Raw genomic sequence first — 12,312 nt, 5'->3', positions numbered from 1 at the left:
GAGCGCCAGTTGTCAAAGTTTAGTTTGCATAAAAATCAATGAGGCAGGTTGTTAAAATTTCAGAATCCTGGGCCCAGTGATATTCTAGTAATACATTGGCTCTGTGAAAAAAATACACACTACTGGTGTGTTTATATGTTTGTTACAGTTTTTACTGGCAAAAATGTGCAGCAATTTACAAATAATAATAAAATATACAATACTTTTCATTATTAACTCCATATAAGCTGTTGACTCTCACATAATTCTTTCCTTGACTTTTGCTCTACTTTTTATAGCCCACTGATGGTTGTAATTGCCATGAAGTAGTTCAGACAAGAATGCTTGTTAATATTTTTGTTTAGTGAAACAAAAATATTTGTTTAGTGAAATAATATTTTGTTTAGTGAAACAACAAAGACCTATGTTGGAACTTGCACATTAAGGATGTCAGTAAAATCTTTGGTGTAATGGGTAACAGTCTGCAAATCCTGGAAGAATATGTCCTAAATTTTTGGGGGCATTTACAGTAATCCACATTGCCAACATCCTCTCCATCATTTTCTCAGGTCTAGACAACCAGCAAAATAATAGACAGAACTTTGACTTGCACTATTTGTCAATTTCCATGGTGTAAATTTTTCCACCATAGCTGATTTCAATGTAAATTTTCCCACCACAGCCAATTTCAAGCTACCAACATGACATCACTGCTTTAGGAAGAAATTAGCAGTAAAATAACACTTTGTAGTATTTCCACCACACAGATACAACAGATGCAAATACCCTCAAGTGCACAGATAATAGTAAAATTAGTAAAATAATTAGGAAATAAAGATTTTTGAGTATTTCTTGCCTTTATTTTTAATGATTGCGATATTTAACAATCAGCTTACAAAAACACTGCAAATTACCAATTGGCTCTTGTGAGCCTATCTGAGCCAGCTCTGGCTGCCTATGCTCTACCTTCTGTGCATCTGATTCAGTAGGCCTAGTTTGAACTAGGAACTTTCATTTTAAAAAGTACCCCAAGGACAGTCTGGTGCAGACGGTCCTCTGATTAGATTTTGAGAAATCCTGATCTAGACTATATAACTTTAGAGGTAATTCTATTAAGATCTTTCAGTTAATTCTTATCTTTTAAATGAAACATTATAAGGAGTCTGTTTAAGTAAACACTGAGTAAAATTTTTTAAGTGTGAAAACATCTAGTGCAGGCAAGGATATGGGACTTGCTCATTGCCCAAGGATATGGGATTGTAAACTGGAAAAACTGTCGAGCGATTTGGTGGAACCTGTTAGGATTTAGACACTCCATGACCCCAAAATCTCATTTCTAGATATCTGCCCTGCAGTAGCAATACATGGTTACCTAAAACATTTCTAACATTGCTTATAATAGCAAAAAAACTCAGAGCATCTTTAATAGACAATAAGATACACACATTAGAGTATATCCACACAAAAGAATACTAGGCAGCCTTTATAAATCATGGAAGAGCTTTACATGTGCTGCCTTAGAAATATGTCCAGGGTACACTGTTAAGTGAAAAGCAACAACAACAACAGATGCAGATCTGTGGGAAATGTGATCTAATTCTTGTCCAAAAAAAAAAGAAAAAAGTACATATACACATATCTGATACATTAGTTTATCTTCCACATATAGAAATGCTGAGATAAGCTAATGAAAAGTTGGCAGACATAAGCAATAGCTGGGGTGGGGAGGAATTAGGTGAGAAAGGGAGGTATGATTGAAGAGGGTTTTATCAATTTTTTTCAATAGTAGGGGTATTACAAGGGATTTTCAACTTTTCTTTTTAATAATTTTCTATATTTTCCAAAAGAGGAAAAATAAAGTTCAGAAGAGAAGATTATTTTAAAGGGAAAATGTGCAGATACATCCAGAGTCCTCCAATCCTTTTTAGTATTTTAACTGAAAACTCAAATATGAAGAAATAATTTCTTTGTTCTAATACTGGAATTTATTGCAATTCTGAAATCTAAACAGCTTTGGAAGGCTAAAGTTTTCTCATTAAGTTTTGGCAGCAAAATCTGACTTGAATGAATATGATGATATTTATGTTTTATTCCTTTTTGTGTGAATATTTAAACATTTGTTATAGAAACATTAGTGTATCTACATAGGGATGGTGCCCCAGATTCACAAAGGTGATAGAGTACATGATTTATTCAGTTGAATACCTTTCAAAAATATTAAAAGCTCCTAATTCCAGACCACATCTGCCCCCAAGCATTTGCATAAAGGTTTGTGTCCCTATCCCCATCAAAGCATACCAGAGAAATTGGAAATGGGAGTCAGGGAGAGAAAAAAGGAGAGTTGGTAGATGACATGAGTATCACAGCCTTGAGAATAAAGAAGGAAAACTGAGGTAAAAGTGTATCCTTCCTGGAACCATATTTCTGACACATTTCTGGATCTCCCAGGGGTGAGGCTTGTTTCAGCAGGGCTGCTGTCTCTGGAGCTGAGAACTTGGAAACGCAATATGTGCTCTGGAATGAAAGATCATGGTAAGAACTAACATTATGGTCTATTCTGGAAAGGGGATTCAGATTGATGGCTGATGTACACGCCAGGGCCCTATTCAGGGAAGGCTAGGATGAGTGCTTAGATGGTGCTATTTATGTCTCCCTTCCACTGTAGAGACTCAGTTGCTTTTGGACGTCTATGTCAGCTGAGGTTGGAGGAGCAGTAACAATAACCTCCCTCCCATGTTTGCAATTTCAAGGGAGATTCTTAAATATGGAAAGTATTCCGAAATACTCTAAAATACATAGGCTTAAATATCCTGGCCCATAGTATTGTGCACTTCGCAGCGGAGTGAGTAAAAGCAGGATTAATGTATCTCACTGGAAAGCAGGTAGGAGGAAGCTACTTGTGCAGATTGAGAGAAGACAACAGGGAAAGCAACAGGGAGCAATCTGATCCAGTTTCCCACTCTCTCTGCAATTAGGTGTCAGGAAGTCAGGAGCACTCAGATGCTTACACTGAAGTCAGAACAACCTGCTTTATAGTGGAATGAAATAATTTTAAGCACAGTTACCTTGCCACTGATCTCTGCTCCATCTTGTTCAAAATGCATTAGCAAGGGATTTTTCCTGAGCTCACAATTTCAAAGCTTTTTCTAATAGCTTCCTGGCAGTAGTCTTCTAAGAGGCAGAGATACAGCTGGAGTCACAGTGGAATCAGAATTCCTCTGGAGTCCTCTGTTTTTTCTTCCTCCTGCCATGATTACCATTCCTGGCTCTTCACTCTACTACTCTTTCAGTTGTGGTTAGGTAGGAACCCTTTGTATGGATACATGTGTATTTGTGTGAATACACAGATGCACACCCTGTGTTCAGGAATATCCACCTGTCTGGAACTAAGCTTTGCAGAAACCACACCCGAGTGGATCACAGCCAGCATGGAATAATGCAAGAGGGCAAGGAAAAATCAAATCTGATGGTCACAAAGTCCAGGCTGCAGTGTTCCCATGTTTTTATTGTATTTTTTAATCCCCATTTTCCAGATGATCATGTTTTTATTTAAAAAGTTTCCCTTAAGGGCTGCAAGCCAAAGTCTATTTATGCTAACTGATAATATGAAACTCATCTAGATTCCATATCTAACTGATAATATGAAACTCATCTAGATTCTGTATCTAACACATAAATTTAGAACAGGAAGAAGGGTGCCTATATGATATCAATCCGATAACTTGAAACATCTAAACTAGGTGTGATCTTGCCTGCTTTCCAATCCCCTCTCTCATGGCACTTAACTTTGTACTGGCTCGCATTATTACGGTTATTATTTTAAGTGTACTTATGCTCACTGGACGGGAACTCTATGAGGGCAGACTTTTGTTCTTACTCATCTTTTCCTCCATGTAGTGCGTTGTGTGAATTAAAATGAGTTGCAATGGTAGCTTGACAACAAAGGAAGCTACAGAAAATACAGAAGAACAGATAGGAGATGGCAATGAGCCCAGTTACATGGAAAAACTCTACGTACTCCTAAAAACTGGAAAGAAATCATAGCACAATCATTGATATTCACTAGGCTATCTCAAAGTTATGAAGAAAAGGGAGAAGGGGATAAGGAGAACTAACATTCATTGCCAATCTGTTCTGTGTCAGGCACAGCTGTAGGCATTTAACATGTACCATCTAATTTAACTTCCTAAGACACGTAATATACTCTATTTTTTATTTTTTATATATATATATTTATTTATTTATTTTGAGATGGAGTCTTACTCTGTCACCCAGGCTGGAGTGCAGATATATATATACAATTATATGTATATATATCTATACATACACACACATACATACATATATGTGTGTATGTATAATATATACATATATATATACATTTATTTATTTATTTATTTTGAGATGGAGTCTTACTCTGTCACCCAGGCTGCAGTGCAGTGGTGTGATGGCTCAGTGCAACCTCTGCCTCCCGGGTTCAAACGATTTTCCTGCCTCAGTCTCTCTAGTAGCTGGGATTACAGGCACACACCACGACAGCTGGCTAATTTTTGTATTTTTAGTAGAGACAGGGTTTCACCATGTTGGCCAGGCTGGTCTTGAACTCCTGACCTCAGGTGATCTGCCTGCTTCGGCCTCCTGAGATTACAGGCGTGAGCCACTGTGCCCAGGAAAGACACATAATATATTCTAAAATGATTTCTATCCAAGATGTTTTAACATTATAGTACTTAAAGGGTTAAAACCTTAGCATTCTGGAAAATTTGGCTATTGAAAACAATCATCCTCTGAGTGTTCTAACTAGAGCTTTATGATCTGATTTTACTAATATAATCCCCAAAGTTTGGAGATGAAACTTCTTAGAGCTTACATAAAGGAGAGTTGAAAATAGGATCTCCAGGCTGTATTCACTTAATTTAGAATGTAAATATTAAACACCCACTCTAAGGAAAGCAAAACTTTTGGCTATACTTCCAGGAACATACTAAATGTACAAAATGCAGGTGTACATACAGGGCTGTGAGAAAGGCATGGAAACAAGCCGAGAGAGACAGAGAGAGAGAGAGAGAGAGAGAGAGTGTGTTGTTTGTTGTTAATAATATCTGCTAGTTTTCCCATATGCGCCAAGAGCTTAATGACAGTAAGTGGATTATAGTTTGGAAGTCTTGACAATCCAAAGACAATCAGGGCAATACATTTGGGAAGAGACCCTGACCTTCATTCTAAGAATATCAGTTCCAACTTCAATAGGTGAGTTCACAGGATCTTCAATTTGAGAAATGAGTTATTGTTGGAGACTAGTAAGCTAATGCCAGAAATTCTAAAAATGAGAGGAGAGCTTTCTTAAGATTCCCCTAGGCCAAAACATCGAGAAGAAATGTGGCAGCATTCAGCAACAATCTCAGGAGAATTTTCACTTCGGAACAAGATTTCGCTGAAAAAACTGGTCAAAAAAAGGGGGAGAGGGAAACCTGGAGGAATCCCCAATTCTCACTATTCTAATTTCCTTAAGGGCAGGAAGTTGGTCTTGCAGTTTATCTTTGTACAGCTGAACTATGAATAACAAAAACTGCTGTGGAGAACACGAAACACAGCTTAACTAGGAAACTTCTACTGGCAACGTGACACACTCAAAACAGTTCTGTGTCTAAAAATAATGAGAAACTACAACATCTTTGAAAAGTAACCACGTCCTTTTCATATTATGTGTAACTAGACAAAATATTGTATTTAGGGAAATTTATCCTTTCATGAGGACTATAATGATAATAGCTAACATTTATTGACTACTTAACCAGGTACCTTTATTTATATAAAGGTATGGTACCTTTATGATACCACTATGATACCATTTTACAGATGAGGAGAGCAAAGAGAGGTTTAGAAACTCAGCGAGGGTAACAAAACTAGGATGTGCCATTACCAGTCTGCCTGGACTTAGAGTTTGGTCACCAAACCTGGTACCATACATACTATCACCTACGTGGGACATTCATTTCTAATTAGAGTACATCCTATTTCCTATGGAATATTAAGTTTTAGAAAATTTAAAAGTCTATACATTTTTTAAAAAGTCATTCTGGCCTTCCTAAGCTGCAATCCTAGCTCACTCTGGCCACCTACAGCCCCATACTTTCTTCATAAGGCTAGTAGCTTTTCCATGTACTCAAGCCCAAGACTGAGCGGCATTAGGAAATGAAAATCCAGTCAGGTTACAGCTTGACTGAAGAGCATTCTGAGTGCTTTAGGAATCAAGTCCTAGCAAGGATCTTTATGGCTTGCTCCCCACCTTTGACCTCTCTTCTAATTTCTTGCCACTTTTCCCTATGCATTTCACATTCCAGCAACGTCAGATGACCCAAAGTTCTTTGTGTCTAAGATGCTGTTTCACTCCCGTGTCTCTGCATCTACTTTTACCTTTGTCTGGAACCTGTCTTCCCTCCTGCTCTGGCCTGGGAGCTCCTGATCACCCTTCCATACCCTGCTCTGGGTCCAACTTCTGGAAAGCCTTTCCCAGACTTCATACCTCTCCACTTTCAGGTATACTTGTACGCTCCTGTCTCTCTGCAGACTTCAGATCCAGTATGCATTATTATTATTGCCTATAAACACACTCCTTTTGTGCTTGTCTCACCTACTAGAATACAATAAACTCCTACAGGCAGGAAGACTAGTATACCCAGCACTAGTATAGGCTTGACACTATGGTTGATATGGCATTTAATACAATTGATTGTTTTTGAAGGATTATTTTACAGCTTCACATTCTGTGTAATTTCCAAAACACCAAACAAACAAACAAAAAAACAAAGTAAAGCAAACATTTTATGTAATCCCATAGAACTCACTCTAAAATCACAGCCAATCTTTTCATACTAAGGAAGATCACAGTCTAAAACAGGGATGGTCCAATCTTTTGGCTTTCCTGGGCCACATTGGAAGAAGAATTGTCTTGGGCCACACATAAAATACACTAACACTAATAACAGCTGATGAGCTAAAAGAAAAAAAAAAAAGAATCGCAAAAAACATCTCATAATGTTTTAAGAAAGTTTATGAATTTGTGTTGGGCCGCATTCAAAGCTGTCCTGTGGCCTGCAGCTTGGACAAGCTTGATCTAAAACATGCCCAGGTATGGCTTCAGGTTATACTCTCTCAGATACTCTACCACATTCCCACAACTTTTAGAAGATGTTTTGCCTTCATTTCTGGTGCTTTATTAAAGAAAGATCCTAAGTTTCTCAATTGTCTAAAACATTCCCTGTGTGGAAAAATGCTCATACCCTTAAGCCAAACATTTCCCCACTTTTCAGTAGAATATAATAATTTCCTAGTAGTGTTACTCTGCTTCAGATTTACAATTTATATACTTTAAAATATCACCAATAGTTTTAAAACCACGAAATAAAATCTTCCCTGACAATGGCACCAAAAGCAGTGCTGTGATTATATATGTATGTGTATAATTGTGTGTTTGTTTATATATATAATATGTACATAACATAAATATTTAATGCATTTTTTATAATTAGAAGATAAAATGATACAATTATTTTCCACTTCTAGGTGCATCTGGAGATAAGTATGAGATCACAATACAGAAGCTGCTGAAAGCAGAATACATTCCTATAGTAAATCAGGCATATAGAGATTCATATTCTTTTTTTGGCATGAGGTGTGAGTGGGAGTGCAGTACACTAACTGGAAGGTATTGAAGGAGTTAACAAAATGCTTCTATTTGTGGAATTTAAACATGTAATTATAAAGGCAATGTTATAACATTTTAAAGGAAAAAAAAATCACCCAATCCTACCTTTCTTATTCATCAACCATTTCCTTTTTTTCTTGGGCTTGACAATCCTGGTAAGCATACATGAATTTTATATAGTCTGTATTTGATCTTATTGTTGGCTATTTTTGTTGTTATACCATTTATTTAACCAATGTCCTAGTGAGGGCCATTTGAGAACTTTCCAGTTTTTCATGTGCATGAATAACTGGGTAGATAGAGTAGCATTTTTAAGAAAAAAAATCTTTCTTTAGGACAAAAGCCTAGAACAAGACTTTAATACTATATATTAAACATACATGAAATGGTAAAAATGCTTTCCAAAACATCATACTAAATTTATAAAGCCTCCTAAAGCACATCAGATTCATCCAAATGCTGGACAATTTAATATCCACCACTTCCCAATTAATAAATATAAAACGATATCTCATTGTTTTAGTGAGATTTGATATTTTCCCATGTTTTTACTTACTACTCTAAATAAAGCTTTAGGGACCTGATAGTATCTACTGAATGAATTACATGAGTGAAATTTTTGCTTACATTTTAATAATATTACAATAAGTTATATGAATTATAGCACTAGTAATCTTTCTACCCCATATATCTTTTAGAAAAACTTGTTTTTAAGAGAAAATAAAAAACTACTATTGAAAAGTTAAAATTTCTTATCTGTCTCTTACAGCAAAGAATAATTATATGTTTACATATTAAAATATCAGTACTTTTACTATCCCTAGATTAAACATAAATTATAAAACAAAATTAACTCCTTATAAGAAATTATTACAGTAACATATTTTTAAAAACAAGCATATATCATGTGTTTTCTCTGGAGTATCAATGCAGTATCTGTTAGGGGTCCTTACAACGCTGAGGGGAATTAGATTGAAAAGTGAAGTACAGGGTTTTATAGAGGGTAGAGATTAGGGTTTGCGGGAACCTGCGCCAGTATGATGAGCTACTTTAGTTGTGGTGATCTGGAAAGGTCTGCTTGCCTTTTTTGAGGAAATTAAAGCTTTGTCAATACTTTGGAAGTCAGCAGTCTCACAATCTGTCTGTTCTACTGAAACCAGCATGGTCAATTTTTAGAGCAGATAATCTCTGTCTTTGTTCCCCAAACACAAATATTATTTATTTCTTTGTTTTCAGCAAAACCTTCTCTCAGCACTATAGAGAGTTAACAGTTTAAGATTATGTTCTATTCCAAAAAATGAAAAGTTATTTGTGTATAACTCAAAGCATATTTTTAATCTAAAAATAAATTTTATTTCTAAGTTAGGTTCATAGGCTGGTCCATTTATATATATATTAATTTATATATATTTATTAGTGTATTAATAAATATATTAATTGATAATATATTTGATTATAGTACATTTTCAATGACATAAAATCATTCTTTCAACACCCTTTTCCAGAGGGAGACTGCATTTACTGTCCTCGTTCTGAATGCTGGCAATCTATGGTCCTTTCTACCCCATGGGGCTCTCTTAGCAAAGGTCCTAAAGGGTATTTCATAGGCAGAGATGGACATCTACTTCCAAACTTAGTTGCTGGAGAGATAGCTAATGTATTTGGAAAGGGAAACATATCAGGTTACTTAGAAATATACTGTCAAATTAGAGAATTCAGGAGAATATATATAAGTCAGCAAGACATAGTAGAAAAGCAAACAAGACAAGGAGAAATCTTAATATTTACACCTGTGAACACAAGAGTGTGAACCCGAATGCAGTTGGAGTTTGACTAAATGCAGCAGCAGGAGTAACAAGCATTGATCTTGGTTGCCTTGGGAACAGGGCCCCTTCCTCATGCTAACGATCTATAGTAAGGAAAGGGGCATTTAAATAAAGTGCATAGCGATCACTGGTAGAGCAACAGGTGTCTAGGGGAGTGTTCAGCATTATCTAAAGGGTGGCTGGGGTCTGTGCCTTACAGCAGTGGACAATGGATGAGTTCATGAAGTGCCACGTATGGATAGATAAGGAATCGACATGAGCCTGAGTGTTTGAGAACCCCTTTGGTATTGCAGAACCTATAGACTCTCGGTGGCTTGCTCAGAGCAACATAAATATAAACAACCAGTACCTTCCTATGCTTTCCAACAGTGTTGCTTGGAATGATCCGCACTCCTAATAAGAGCAAGAGCAGGCTGATAAAACAATACACTAGAAGGCAAGAGAGCTCTATAAAGTCAGCATAAAAGAAAACACAGTAGGATGCACAGGTGCATAACAGAAATGACTTCTAAAATAAAAGTCATTCCTTCAACAGTTCCAAATTAAAGGAAACAAAAGCTGTTATCCCCTAGTGGGCAGAGGGTGTGGGCAATTCTTTTTAAGATGTAGATAATAGTTTGTGCATGTATTTTAAACAATATAGTACTAGAAGTTTTGCTTAGTTCCAACACTTCAAAACTTACCTCTAAAAGCACTAATATCCCCATAGTGTACCTGTAGTACAAAGTATTTACTTCCAGTCTCTCCTCCAACTCTGAATCCAACACCTAAAGATTTACAAAAAAGTTAATATATTAGAAATGAGCATCTAAAATGGAGTTAATCTCAAATTGCTGTTCTATGAACTCCAAAGGGAAATAACATATAACATATAAAATTATATTATATGAAAACAGAAATATACCATTGACTGATAATTTCTAATATAATCTGTCATTATAATCTCCTCAAAACTATGATGAAATTCTACTCATAGTTCCCACTTCAGAACCAGAGTAATCACTTACACTTTAAGAGGACAATTCACTCATTTTGAAAGAAACAGAGCAAAACAAAATTCTGTCTCTATTGATTATTTAAAAGACATACATTAGCCGGGCGCGGTGGCGGGCGCCTGTAGTCCCAGCTACTCGGGAGGCTGAGGCAGGAGAATGGCGTGAACCCGGGAAGCGGAGCTTGCAGTGAGCCGAGATTGCGCCACTGCAGTCCGCAGTCCGGCCTGGGCGACAGAGCGAGACTCCGTCTCAAAAAAAAAAAAGACATACATAAACCCATTCTCCCATTTTGTTTTGTATATATTCATATTTATTTTATTTTGTGATTGAATATAGGAAATAGACCTCTTAGGAGCATTTAAGTGGCATTACTTTTCTTCTGCTGTGAAAAGAGGTATCTACAAAAATGTCATTGAGGAAACCAGTTACCAACTAGATTACTGAAGTCCATTATCTCAGTGATTTTTTGGAATCTGAATATTCTTATTAGTCTTACTGTTAATAAAGCTTGCTAGTGAGCTTTAAAAAATCTAGAGAGAAAATATTTACAGGCAGAAGTATACTTTTTTTTTTTTTTAAACAAATCTCCTCTACCAATGTATGTCAACAAATCTATGACAGACCTCCCTGTTAGTTTCAAACTTGTTTGGTTGCAGCTGCCTCATATGGAGAGAATTCTGAGGCTCATTTGAAGTGCAAGAAATCAGACATCATTTAATGATGCTGGCAATGAGTAAGGGAGGAAAGAGAGGTGCATGTGTATCACGAGATCATCCATGAACCACGACAGACCTATTCTGTAACAGACCCACACACACCCTTTAAGAAATATCCAGGTAATAAATGAGAGTCTGGTAGTACACTCACACATTGAAAGCTATGTACAATTTAGAGGTGCAGTCAGAAAGCCAGCTGAGGTCTTGGCATCACATTAGATACCTAGGTTCCAGGACTGTAAAAAATTCTTTGCTGAAACAGCAGTTTATTTAATTCCTAGCTCTCTTGGCTCATGAAATGTGTCTGCTGTCAAGAACCAATGTGCCTTAGGTCAAAGGTGGCTTGAGGTATCCTTGGTTATTTTCTAATTTTATCTAAACTGTTGTGTGGGCAAACTACTTACCAAAGAGAGGCAGAAAAAGAGTAACTACCTAAATGAAACCTTTTCAATACAAAAGAGGTAATGCAAGTACTTTCACTGTGAAGCAGCAATACAGAACACTGTCAACACTGGTTAGAAAGGACTATAATGAAAAGTACTTTGGAAACAGAAATTAAGCAGCTGAACATAAGACCACCCAAGAGGCTCTGACATACCTTTGGGGAGCCGGGTAGGGGGAGCATTTCTCGCCCAGGCATACAGAATATTGGCTTTATCTGTACAGGTTCCTTCATCACAAAACCTGAAGAAAATAAAAAGTAGTATAAATGAAGATTTAAATAGTGAAATGCATAAATTGCTCCCCATGGTGGGAGGTGATGGGGGAAGGTATTTGAAACCAAAGTACATCAATATATCATCATTGCATGATATTAGCTTTAAGATCCGAATAAAGACTGGAGCAAAGAACTATTACTGTGTGAAAAAAAGCACATAAAAGAGGAAACTTTTTTTTTTTTTGCCTGATATGAAACAATCCTGTGAGGGAGATATATAATTTTTACTTTGATATGTTCATACATGGAATGTACTCTATGTAATCAGGTAGAAAAGCAAGCATTACATAGACGGTCTGTATAAACCAAAGCTAATGCAGCAGAAATCTGGACTAAAAAAAGTGTCATACACATTTCCCCTTTGGCGATC

General features: G+C 36.5%; 1 protein-coding gene across 58 annotated transcripts in view; it reads right to left on the bottom strand.

The window, feature by feature from the left end:
- The window catches only part of PAM (peptidylglycine alpha-amidating monooxygenase), a 276,323-nt gene that overhangs the window by 94,241 nt on the left and 169,770 nt on the right, over positions 1 to 12,312 (bottom strand). For all 58 annotated transcript variants that reach the window (NR_157231.1, NR_033440.1, XM_024446066.2 and 55 more), the window contains 2 exons: positions 11,823 to 11,908; positions 10,197 to 10,280 (listed from right to left, as the gene is read on the bottom strand). Coding sequence is in view for 56 of the 58 variants with exons in the window: in XM_024446066.2 (XP_024301834.1) it covers positions 10,197 to 10,280; positions 11,823 to 11,908 (170 nt within the window). In the remaining 2 variants the exon portion in view is untranslated. The remainder of the gene's footprint in view (positions 1 to 10,196; positions 10,281 to 11,822; positions 11,909 to 12,312) is intronic.

This window comes from Homo sapiens, chromosome 5 (assembly GCF_000001405.40).
Source record: "Homo sapiens chromosome 5, GRCh38.p14 Primary Assembly".
Lineage (NCBI taxonomy): Eukaryota > Metazoa > Chordata > Mammalia > Primates > Hominidae > Homo > Homo sapiens.
This window is presented reverse-complemented; position numbering and strand designations above follow the sequence as displayed.